The sequence below is a fragment of the Homo sapiens genome, chromosome 6 (genome assembly GCF_000001405.40).
Source record: "Homo sapiens chromosome 6, GRCh38.p14 Primary Assembly".
Lineage (NCBI taxonomy): Eukaryota > Metazoa > Chordata > Mammalia > Primates > Hominidae > Homo > Homo sapiens.
In genome coordinates this window covers 97,061,083-97,074,289 of record NC_000006.12, presented here as the reverse complement: position 1 = coordinate 97,074,289, position 13,207 = coordinate 97,061,083, and the positions used below count along the sequence as shown (strand labels likewise).

General features: G+C 39.7%; 1 protein-coding gene across 25 annotated transcripts in view; it reads right to left on the bottom strand.

Moving 5' to 3' along the window:
* Positions 1–13,207, bottom strand: part of KLHL32 (kelch like family member 32) — a 242,671-nt gene that overhangs the window by 66,464 nt on the left and 163,000 nt on the right. For 23 of the 25 annotated variants that reach the window (NR_136580.2, NR_104421.2, NR_136579.2 and 20 more), the window contains one exon: positions 9,564–9,662. The exons of 1 other annotated variant lie outside the window; for it this stretch is intronic. Coding sequence is in view for 17 of the 24 variants with exons in the window: in NM_001323258.2 (NP_001310187.1) it covers positions 9,564–9,662 (99 nt within the window). In the remaining 7 variants the exon portion in view is untranslated. Of the gene's footprint in view, positions 1–9,563; positions 9,663–11,786; positions 11,958–13,207 lie in introns of all 25 variants that reach the window. One more of the 25 variants, NM_001286254.3, reaches the window with a different exon arrangement.

The window sequence follows — 13,207 nt, the reverse complement described above, 5'->3', positions numbered from 1 at the left end:
TCAAAACTTGTTAGAATACAGGTTCTTAGGCCCTCCCCAGACCTCCTGAAACAGGAACTCTGGAGTGGGGCCCAAGCAGTCTGTTTTAGCCATCCATTCAGATGATTCCTTGCATAATCAAGTTTAGGAATCATTACTCTGGAGTATGCATTTCAGTGAAGACAGGAATGACTCTGTCCTGCATAAATATACTGTTGCAGCAAACAAACTGTGTGACCCGAGGCCTTCAACTGTGCCTCTGAAGTAGGCAAACGTTATACTGAATGTTCAGGACTGAGGCCAGGGTATCTGGAGCCAAGTCCATGACACAGACAAGCAGCCACTTCCTAGGGCCTGTGGCACATGCCCCTTGATGTGCAGCAGGAAAAAGGTTGGTAGCCTGGTCTAAAAGATACTTGTGGATAGACAGTGAGGAAGAGGGGAAGAGAAGTCTCCACCCCTTCACACTCCTTTCCTTCCTCTGGAAGGAAAGCCAGAGGAAAGAAAGACAGCTGGAGGGAAATGAGACACATGGATAGCATTCTCCCAGTAAGGAAAAATTCAGATTTTTTTTCTTTTAAATAAATACACAGTTTTTATGTTCCCTAGTCAGGAAGCATAGGATATCATGCAACTTTATAATCAAAGTTTCTATCATAGGGAGCTCTTATGGTACATGCAGAAGGAATCCAATCAGACAATATGTGTTTCTAAGTACCACCATGCACTAGAACTAGAGATGAAAGACTTTTCCAATTGTTTCTTGGATTCTGTATACCAGGATGGAGAAAGATGTTTTAATTATAGAAAGGGCAGGGGAAACAATACAACAAAATTTTCTGTCTACAAAGTGTCAATACCATGTATTGTGTTGCTTTTGTCAAAGCATTATTTTATTATTTATTAAAGTACAATTTCAGTATGATGTTTTCAAATTTCAGAGGCAGAAAGAAAGTGACGGTTCATTTAATTATTTGTGGCTTCTAAAAAACAATGTATGCATTTCAGCAAAATCAAAGAGAAGTGGCTAAGAGGAAGAATATCTTTTACAGAATGGTGATTATTCCCCAAAATTTCAGGAACAGATTTGTCCAATAGGTTGTCAATTTGAAGTAGGCAGAAAATTTGCTGACATTTCCAGAAATGAGGGAAGACAGGGGTGAGGGGATTGGGTAGGAGGATAACTGTGGAATTAATAGAGGAATTCACAGGTGAAGCACCACATTATATCGGCTCTGGTTTATAGAGCACTCACCGATGTAGGATACTGTGTTTGTAAGATACTTTGCATGCACTATCTCATTGAATCCTTCAACATCCCTAAAAGGTAGACTGTATATAGGATACCATATCTGTATTTCACAGATGAGGAGTTGGGGGGCAAAGAGGTTAAGTAACTTGTCCGACATCACACAACTTTGGGACATAAACTTATGTCTTGGGGAGACAGATAAGTAAATTAACACAAACAATATGGCCTCCCAGAAGATTGCCCATAATTAAAGAAGAGGAGGAAGATATAATTCCAACTGAGTAGATTGATCAGGCAACTCTGGAAGAGGAGACAATGTGAGCCAAGTACTTGAAAGTTAAATAGGAATTCAGAAGGTGACAAAGTGAGGGAAAAATAATTCACAGAAAAGGAGGTTTCGTATGAAGAGGATTAGGTACAGGGAAATGCACAAAGTTCATAATGACTGTGGAACAGGCATTGCACATGGGTAGTAAATTGTCAAAAAAAAAAAAGCCAAAGAGATAGCACATTTCATAATAAAGACAGGCCCTGTGTACCAAATTAAAAGGAGTGAACCTCATCCTGAAGACTATGTGAACCACATTCATCATAATGAATAATTTTAAGCAAGGATATGACATGATCAGGTTGTGATTTTTTTAAAAAATCAATCAAACAGAATTTTTCATGGATTAAGAAAACTTTTCAAAATCTATCAAACAGAATTTTGGAATTCTGTACTGGAATGGGGCAAGAGGGAAAGCAGGTTCATCAGTTAGCAAGAAGTTGCTTTAGTCCATAAAATAAGTAATGTGGATCTGATTGAAGACAGTAGTAGTGGAAAGAGAGACAATGAGAGAGATTTAACAAGTTAAGGGGGTGGGGCTGAAAGGTCTCTGTGTCAGTGTATGTGGGGCTCAAGGAGATGGGAGATTCTAGGATGACTCCTGGTTTTCTGGCTTGGGTTCACACTCAGAGAGGTCATGTGCCTGAGAAATACCCAAGCCGAAGTGTAGACTAGGCAGCTGGCCTGGAGCTAAGACAAGCTGTCCATGGGGTACAGTCAGAATAGGGTACATTATAGAGACAAGAAATAGAAAGGACATGGTTCTGCAACCAAAAGATGGAAAGCTAGCTTGGATTTTAGGGAAAGAAATTGTTTTGTGGACCAGACAAATAACTTAGATTGTCCAGTGTTGATTAGCATTAGACTACAGGCAGGGAGCGCAGCTGAGTTATTGCAGGGCAGTCCAGGAAAAATAGTCCCAACCCGAATGACGTCAATGACAAGGAGGAGAAAGAGAAGGTAGCATATCTGAGAAAGATTTAAATGGCTAAACCAACACTATTTAGTGGAATTCATGAGGTCTTGGCAGAGTGTAAGATTATGCCAAGGTTTGAGTGACTAGAAAGATGATGGTCCCTTAACAAAGACAGGGAGGATGAGGAGGAACAGGTGTGTGAGACTGGGCAAAGGCGAATTTGGGCAGCATGTGGCATATCAAGTGAAATGCTGGCTGAACATACAGGGCTGGAGCTCAGGAGAGAGGGCTGGAGTCAGTAACCCTCCCCAGATGCATGAAAGAGAGTGATAGTGAGCAGAAGGGAAGGGTGCCCATGCAGAGCTCCCATGCTTTGAGGGACAGTCAAGGAGCTAATGGAAGAACACTTGTAAAGGTATTGAAAATGAGTAGGAGGAGAATAGGAGAGAGCCCCGAGAAAGAGAGGAGCAGGAAAGAATGCAGCTCCCGGTGTTTAAATGCTGTAGAGGAGTCACTTAGGATACCACAAAGGCCTGCTGCATCAGACAATAAGGAGGCTTTGGTGACCTTTGTTGGAAGAACTTTTGAGGAGTAATGAAGGCAGAACACTGAGTTCAATGGGCCTGAAGAATGAACAGGAGGTAAGGAGTGAAGACACTGGGTACAGTTGGGTAGTGAGGGCAAGGAGCAGCTGCGGTAATGAGAGATGAAGAAGAGTGTCTCCTGCCTTATTGATCCTATTTATAAACTGAAAGAAAAGTGCCAGTAAAGTAGGAGAAATCAAAACCAGAGGAAACACAGGGCGTAACTGATGGAATAAGGAGCAGAAAGGTGGTTTAGCTTCAGGAAAGAGGAGAGACATTTCACCATGACTAGAAATATTTACAGATGGGTGGGTGGGAGAATAAATATCTCAAATGAAACACAGATCTTCTTTTACACACCCCCCACCAATTTCCAAGTATTAATAATGGAACTCAGTGAGATTGATGTTTGTTTGTTTTGATTATTGATTCTGAACTCTAGCATGAATAAAATCCTGGAAACACTTCATTTTTAAGAAGAAAAATGCATACTGAAAGTGATTTTAAAATCACCCAGCTGACAACAGTTAGCTTAGGTTTGAAATGACTAATATTATTAGTGAACTCTTTCAAGAGATATTCTTTCAGGAGAATCTTTCTCCTCTTTAAAATCCTCACAAACGAAGATACAGTCAATCCTACATTATCCATATAACAGATTAAAATGCTGAAATGACTTCCCTGGCCAGCCAGTGTGCCTCTGGGCTGTCGCTTCCTGACATCCTTTAGTGTGGGCTTAGGGAATAAAAGCCAACATAATAGCATATGAAAAAAATTAATTGGGACCCTAAAATGGCTACTGCAGATCTTATGATGCATTTCAAAGCCAAATATGAATGTTATTTGGCAAATATGATATTCTGGATTACCCATGCCAGATAGCAAATACTCTTGATTAGAACAAATAATTACTAGTTGGCTATGATTTAATAGGTCTGATACATTTCCACCCTTTTTGATCATTTTCGCTGATTAAAAATAATCCAAAAGATTAAACCACTTGTAATATGTTTTCCAAACTTTGTACTTTAACTTTCTCCAAACACAAAAGCCTCAGCTCTAGTGAACTATGGAACAGCACTCAGTGCATTTGATTATGAGTATATTAAATATATATGTTGGTACAATCATTTGTCTTCTCTAATGTGGGAAAAAATGGTTCAGTGTTGAAGAAAAATGAACATGAGTTATAACTTCTCCTCAATCTTGAGGAGAAGTTATTGTCTTCAGAACACCCACTATATATTATGTATTTGGGTGATACTCTTAATTTAATAATTAAAATTATAATAATACATTGTTTAGAAGAGATAACCTCCTATAAGTCATTGTAGTATTACTTAATTAAAAATGATAATCTATTATAATACTGTAAAATATGTGAGCTCCTCAGTGTCAAATTTAATCCCCGAAGAAAGTATTTTTAACAAAAAAATGTATTCAGTGGGCAAAACTAATGAAAGGCTGGTAGTATATTTTTCCTACTATAACATAAATTTTAATATTTAAAAAGCAGAGAAAAATTACTTAATGGAGGCACCTTTCAATCCCTCAGTACATAATGAACTCCCACGATGTGAAGGGAGGGAGGGTATAAGGCATAAAATCAGTATAAGGTGTGATCCCTCTGCTCGAAAGCCCCACAGTGTAACTGGAGGTGGTGAGACATTTTCCAACTACATTAAACCATGTGCAGAATGATGCAAAAACAGCACTCAGATACCTTCAGCCCTGATGTAGGTATTTCAAGAATCTAGTGCTTCTCAGAATTGAAAGTGGAAACATAGTTTCTTACTGAAATTGCCATTGGTACAAAAAAAAAAAAAAAAAGGAACAAAATCACCCAGAATTCTCCTTAACTCCCTAGTGAGAGAATAGCATTTTTTAAACCTTTGTACCTTAACTGAAGAGAGAAAATAACTAATTTTCACTGTAGCCCACTTAGTGTAAAATTTAACGAAGACAAGGGATGCTGAGTAAACATCAGTTACAGAGAAGGAGATTTAGGGCAGGACCCTTTCTCCCTCCTGTTCCCTTTATGTTCCTCCTTGGCTTCTGAGTGAAGAATAGTAAGAATTTGGGCTTTGCTTTACTCGATGATCCACATGTGCACGCTGTAAACAGAACAATGCCTTCAATCTGAGGAAATGATCTTTCATGCTGTAAAAACAGAAAACAAAACAAATGCAACAGACCCCCCCCTTCTCTGTTTCCCTTACAATGATAAAATGCTCTACCTATCGCCCTTGCGTCCCAGCCTCTCACATCCCAGCAGCACGCCTCCTCTTGCAGGTCACGTCTTTCACATAAAAGTGCTAAACTAATGCCGCTTAATGACAAATTAATGTCCATGAATAAAAAATACACCTCTAATAGCATAGAGTAATTTGCCATTACAATATCATCATTGGACATGCCCCTGGTTTAATACGATGTATTTAATTCATAACCTAATGAGTGATATATAAAAAGAGGGAGATGAACCCTGCAATTACATTTATGTGAGTCTGTCACCTTATTTGTAAAACCTTAGAGTCATTTACATTCAAATTAGAACAAATGAGTGATTTCACAAAGTGTGCTGATAAATGACCACAGCAGCCCAAGACAAAACTGTATTTCCTGTGAACACATTAACAGTTTCCTATTATTTGTTAAAAATTACAGTGCATATTGCCCAGTGTGGTGTGAATAATGACTTTTTTACTGATTAGGTCAGAAGACTAATATGTAGCAAAATAAATAATTTTTCTTTTCATTATTTTTTCTGATTTTTGCTTTAAATTAACTACTGAATTCTGGTGGATTCACACTGCCACCTGCTGTCTAGCAATAGATATTAAACCTATATTCCTATCAAAAAGGGAGTTGCGTATTCAGTACTTTGGTGGTTTTATTTGAAAAGTCTACATGATGGTTCTGTTTATCAATACATTTAAATTGCATATTATTAAAAAGACAATGATACTTGGTGCACATAAAGAATGGTTGTTAATAAAACAATATAATATGCTTGGGCAAGGTGATACAAAATGTATAAACTTTTTTTTTTCTTTTTTGGAAAGGTAACGGCAAAAAAGAGACATCTTCATCAAAGCTTCTGATGCATCACTTGCAGGAGATGTAACACAAAATTCAGTTGCCAATATTCCTGATCTTATGGCATTGTGCATCAGCAGAGGTGATGGTGTGTGTATGTGTGTGTGTGTGTGTGTGTGTGTCTGTATGAAGTTTTCCCCATTCCTACCCCTTGGTACAATCTAAAGGGGACTGAGAGGCTCTGCCCGCCACTGAGGATATCTACCAATGAATCTTCTCCCCTAATGGCAAGTCCCAATATGAAAACTCTGCCTTAGGGCCCAGAACAAAGCAGGCTAGGAAAGGCACAGTGGCTGGAGATGAAGCCAGGGAGGAACAGGCCTGGCCTTGAAGATGAGGCTAAAGACTTTTGTGGGAGAAATAATGCACCTGAATGATGATCAGGGTAGCTAATGAAAGTTTTCAAGCCAGATCAACATCCTAGTTCTGAATTTAAGTTTCTCCATCTGTAAAAAGAAAACAACACCCACCAGTGTTAAGGGGTGACTTAGCAGTGGAAATGGGAGTCCCTGCAAAACACTCAGCATGGATAGGCCCTCAATATATGTGGTTCCCTTTCTTGGGAAAGATAGTGATGGTCTGGGGGCCATGGGTTACCACAGATTGAGGCTAGAAACAAGCAGACTGCTCAGGAGGGTACTGTAACCTATAGACAAGATTAATGGGAGCCTAAAGAAAGGCACCCCCCCATCAATTAGCATTAAATACATTGCCCAGCTTTCCTTTTTCCCACACACATGCTTTGAGAACCTGTGAGAAGGCTAATTAGGGGGCTAATTAAATAGCTGTCCTCATTGACACAGAGGAGCACTGCTCCTGCCATGTGGGGTTCCTTTTCTCAGCAGCCTGCCAGAGGAAATGAAAGAGAAAGGAGCCCACACAGTGCCAGGTATCCCTTTCCTTTTCAGGAGGGCAGCAGCACCATTTACATGTTCACAGGAACTGCAGGATGGTGAGGCTCAGGGAGCTTCCACCAACGGTTTCCCTTGGAGCTGCTTTGTAGTGAGCACTGGAGGGCAATGGTATATTTGAGCCGGTCTGCCCTTCACTCCTCTGGCAGAGAAACCAAAGAAAGAATGGCATTTTAAGAACAACAAAACAATACCAGACATCTTAGTGAAGAGAGCGGTTTCAAAAACTCCTAGTTGACAAAGTACCACACAAAGATAGAGAATATATCAGCATTGATTGAAGGGGCACAATTCCTGGGTACATTTTAAGCACTGGGAATTTTTCACATTAATAAAATATTATTTTTATATACTCAATGAAATAGTCCCACATTAAATTAAAAATCAGTTGAACAATATTACCAAAACACAGCAAATAGATATAGCTATGGAGACTATATCAAAATATAAAAGTAGATTGAATTGACCCAGTCTGTGATTTTTATAATCCTAAGAGAGAAGCAGGGTATATATATTTTTTAAAGGCTGAAATAAGGAAGGTTTCTACGTCGACATGATTTTGATACTCATATAGTCAAAATTTCCTTCTACAAGTTTGACATCTTGCAATAATCACAGATAAAAAGAAAAAGTAAAGTTACATGACAAAATGAAAACATTTGTGAAAAGTCAGTGAAAATTTCAACCACTATTCAAGAAGCCTGAATAATAACGGTCCACAAGCATGTATGCATGCTACACTTTTACCTCAGCACAATAATGAAATGCAGAAGTTAAATTCCAAAGTATACAAGTCACTTAGTATCTCAACAGATCACCCATCTGATGGGATAGAGGAAAATACCCATGGACCTTTAATGTTCATCTGGAATTCTCACTTACAGAAAATTATAGGCTTAGGTATACCCACACACCCCTGCATATACACACCATTTATAATGTACATCATGATAACTAACGCTCTAACCAAACTGTGTCAGCATGCATCACTGATTACTATCTGCCATGGGGAAAGTGAATCAGGTGATGATGCGTAAAGCCCAAGTTGCAATATTTGATGTAGAAATGTCAAATAAAAGTAATTTTAATTTCACAAGTCAAACACACACTTTTGAAGTCTTATAACCTTTCTACATGATTCCCATTTGCTACAGGCAGAAAGGGATTAAAAATAGCTTTCCTATACCACGTAACAATATTGAGAGGAAAAGAAAGGAAAATAAGGTAAAAAAAAATCATTAACCATTTACTGTTAGATTAAATGTGCTCAAATAATCATAAGAATTCCATAAACTGTATTTGAATTTTCCTCAGGTGAACATGGCTGACCTTCCTCACACTGTCTCCCTGGGAAGTGCTGGTTCCTATTTTCCAGGGTTGCTGGGAAGATTAAATAAGATGCTAGATGAGAAAGAGCTTTGTAAACTACCTAAGAGGTAACAGAAGTCAATGATAAAAGTATACATTTAAAATTACAGAAAGTGATTTAAAAGGAAAATAAAGTAATTGGGCAGGAAAACAAAACTTTTCTGCTCACTAATATCATGTCATATGCACAAAGATAGTGGAATTAAATTGTGTGATGAATTTATTATTTCTTCAAATTAATTTTTTAATGCTATAATAAATGCAAGTGAAGGTGACACCAGTGGGGGAAGTGGGAGGATCCTAAAATTGCAAATTAGTTAGTAACACTCTATAAAGTCCAAGAGACTCATAGCCATGCTGTCTGCCTAAGATGCCCCACAGACTCCTACCTAACAAGAAGTTTTCATCCAACCAAGAAATGGTCTTTGGAATCAGAACGTCCTACCAGCCATATTGCCTCAGACAAGTTGGATATATTTTGAGTCTCTGATGTTTTAGATCTATAAAAATGGGCAAAGTTATTGTGAGGACTGAATGTGAAACAACTGTGAACACACAGTCAGTGCTTGGTGTTCGGGGGTTTTCTCTCCCTCCTTCTCATGGGGCCTTTCCTGACCAGCAAATCAGGGAGGAATACGCACATTACTCATCCCTTCTCCGGCATTTACTGCCTGGGAAGTTCACATGGTAATTAATTACATAGGACTTTGTGATTTACTAGATACTGTTACTGAAATCTTCAATGACTATTAGACTTTTCTTGCATTTGTGATTATTTCCATAACCAGACAATATTGCTTCGGACTAGGACTCCTTTTAGCGACACCTCCCCCGGCTCCTGCAGGGAACCCTGTGCATGGTCACTGAGTTGATCGGCTGCTCAATGGTCGTGGGGACCTAAGGTGGGCAGGACAGTGGAGGAAGACTCCTGCTTCTGTGATTGGATGCAAGAGCTGCAGCCGCCCTCCTAGGAACTTCTCAGCTTGTGTCCTGGAGAAACTCTACTACCACAGCCCACACCCCACCCCCACTTTACCTGTCATTCAGCTCCAGTTGTTGGGGGCCAGCTTATGACTGTGGGGAAAGGAATGTGAAGGGTGTATGAGCAGGATGCAAGCTCACATACCTGGATGAGATAGTGGGAGCATAAATTGAGAAGCTCCAACAGCTGTAGGTGACTGCCCGCTGCTAGCACATCCTGGATCACACCTGGCTCCAGCAAAATCTGTTTTGTTTGTTAACAAAAATAAAACTATCAGTTACACTTAAAAATATAATGCTGCTTAATATGTAGATATACCATAGTATATTTAAATTGCTGCTTTACGTACTCTATTTCAATTAACACTGTTCCTTTTTATGGAAGTCAGTTCTTCTCTTCCTGTTCTGATTAATGAGCTGTGGCCCTTACTCTAACAGCCAATTTTTCTCTTTACTGCATGTGCTGATACCATTTGTGTGTGTGAAGCTCTGCACTTAACCACTTATTTTTTTGTAGAAGGGTATAAACATTTTCAAAGAAAAACATAACCCTCTTAAAATTCAGTTTGTGATATAATCTTATAAAATGCAAAAGAACTGAGTTTTAGTTTTTCAAAGTATATTTCAGAATTTTGCTCTTTAGTAGACCACAGAAACAGGTATTTTAGGGAAAGGGGCATATGTTTCTCCTTGCCATATAAGACCAGAGGTGGATATTAGTCCATTTTACTTCTAAGTCCTACAACAGTAAGCTTCATACGCAAACTTCCATTTTCCTCTTTCTCAGTCTCAGATTCTCTTATCCTTTCTATTTAAAATAAAGGAGGTTCAACTAGCATTTTCAGAATACAAAGACATCACATAGAGGTAATGCCTCCCAAGTATCCTGGTGATACCAATTTTTCACTTTGTTAAGTCCAATTATCTACCTACTGCTGCCAGCTCTTGAGCAGCTGATCAGGGCTGGAAAAAAGGCACACGACCATGTTGACAAAATTCACATGAATTACTGCCAGGTGCAAGGAGGCCTTTAGTGATGCCCCAGCCCTCCATTCTAACCCATTTCCCCAGCCCAGTGCTTCCTGAATCTGGTCTCTGGACCAGCAGCATTGGCATCACCTAGGAACTTATTAAACTGCAAACTCTTGGGAGCCTCCCAGACATACTGAATCAGTAAGTTTCAGGGTGAGGCAACTAGTGTTTTTAACAAGTGTCCTGAGTGGCTCTGATGCACAGGGAGGCACTAGTCAATTCACCCCTCCACTCTACTACTTCAGCACGCTCCTTTCTCAAGCCTCCAACTCCTTCTCTGCCACTGGATTTTCACTTCATGATCTTTGAAAACCTCTTACCACCAAATCTACCAACCTATCTACCTACATCTGTATCAGTACCTTTTGCTCTCCCCAACAGTCCACTTGTGTGCTTGATCCCAACCCCTTCTGCCTGCAATTCTCCCCTCTTGTTCCTGCATCACTATAGGTTCTCTTTCTACTGGATGGTAGGTTTGAAAACCTCAGGGTCATTCTTGACTCTTGTTTTCCTTAGGCCTTATATCGAATCCATCAGCCAGTCCTGCTGGTTCTATCTTCAAAATAGTTTCGGAATTCAATCACTGCTCATGACTTCGATAATCACTGCTTTAGTCCAGTCCATTCCTCTTCCTAAACTTAACTGTAATCACCTCCTAGCTAGTTGCACTGCTTTCTCCTTTGTCCACTCACACTATCTGTTTTAATAATATCAACCAGACTGGTTCTTTAAAACCACAAATGAAATCATGTCACTGTTTTTATTCAGAACTTTCTGAAGACTTTCCATCTCCATGAAAATAAAATCCAAAAAGTCTCCACTATAACCTAAAAAGTTATTGAATATGCTGAGCACCTTGGTGTTTACAACTAGTTGTTTGCTCTGCCTGGGCCACTCCCTCATATACTTCAGATAACGTCTTACCTGAGATACCTTCCCTGACCATCCTATGTAGAACAGTAACCCACCCCTGAACAGCCATCATTCCCTAGCTCCTAACTTTGTTTTATTCTTCACCATAGTGCTTACCACCTCACATTATATATCTTTTTGCCTATTTGCTAATTTTTCTCTGCTCAGTATAAGTTTCAGGAGAGCAGGGACTTAGTCTATTTTGTATCCCCAGCACTTAGAACAATGTTCAGCACACATAGCTGTTGCTCAATATTCATGAAGTTACTTAATTAAAATGCTAATGAATTAATTGATCTCTACACATGTTTTTTATTCAGAATCAATTTTAACTAATTTTATAAGAAAGAAAAAAGGACTCTATATTTCTAAGTGGCAAAGTAAAGAAGTGAAAAAGTTAAGCACATGTGGCAAAAATACCAACACTCATCTTATTCTGAAAAATCTTTATATCTCCTTTTCCATCTAGTCAGAAAGAGAAACCCGTCTTTCGCCAACTCCTCAAGGAAGGAGGCTTTGACTGACATTCACGAAATTAGTGCAGCTCCCATCAGAGGAGCAAGGATGTTGTATAGTCTTGCAGAAGAGGCATGGCCTAAGGAGGAGAATGGGGAATAGATGGATTAGAAAGGTTGGTTTAGCCTTTAAATCCTGTCAGTTGCGCTCATTTCACACAACTGGTATTTATGATAACCTCCAAGGCTCACTAATAGCAAACACAAAGACAGTGATCACAGAGAGACAAGATGAATATTCCATAGCATGTGTTACATGTCCAGCAGGCTGACTTCCAGAAGCCTGCACATGAAAAACCCATACGGCGATTGTTTTTGTCTTTTTTTATTTTTTGTTTTGTAGTTTTTTCCTTCCACTCATTATAACATAAGTTTTTCTAAAATATGCTTTAGCACAGAAAATCTCTAAGTGCTCTTAAAGGGTTGGAGAAAGAAACCCTACCAGGACAGCTGTTCTCACTTATGGAAACAGAACCAGTGTTTGCAAACCTCACTGTACCAGAGGCTTTTGATTCAGCTTTGTTGCTCTTTGGTGACTGACTGTTCGAATATATTTTTCCAGGGAATTTGTGTTTGGCCAGCAATGAAATCAAAGGTCAAGTCTCCTCATGATTTACAGTGTGGTGAATTTATCTGTCACCTGCCTCGAAGGACTGGCCAAAAGAACAACCTCTGCAGAAAAAAAGGGATCTCAAACACACAGGTTTATGGAGAACAACTAAGACAGCTGCATTTAACTTCTGCCAAGCATTATATTTAGGTATTTCAGAAACATACCCATCAACATGTAGTCTGACACTCAAACCAGGACAGATAGGAAGAAGGGTGACTCAAGGACCACCTGCAGGAAGGAAGAGATGTTCCCCAAGATCTGAAAGCACACAGGGTGGGAATAGGAGCTAATGTGAGTGGCCTGACACATCCAGTCACTCATCAGTCTGGAGGAGCATATCACAGCTAGAGGCATAAACAGTGGACAAGACAAAATGTCTTAATAACAAGAGATCAAGAAAATGCTAGATACATAAAGCCAAGTGGTCCAGAATCCAGGGGCGGGATGGGGCGGGCTGGGGGAAGTGGGGGGAAAGGAAACCCTAAAAGAAGCCAAACTAGGTTGGGCATTGCCTCTACCCCCAGTGACGCTCACCTGCTTGGGTGGAGCTCACCTGTAGAGCTGGGGCTTCTCCAGATTTGCAAACAGGTTTTGATGCAACCAGGAGCAAACTTAGGTGGGGGCATGAATGTTTCTTGTTCACAGAACCACCTGTATAGAGGATTCTTTCCCCGCCTGACCTCCAGGTGGTGGAACACAAGGGGCTGTTCTCGAATG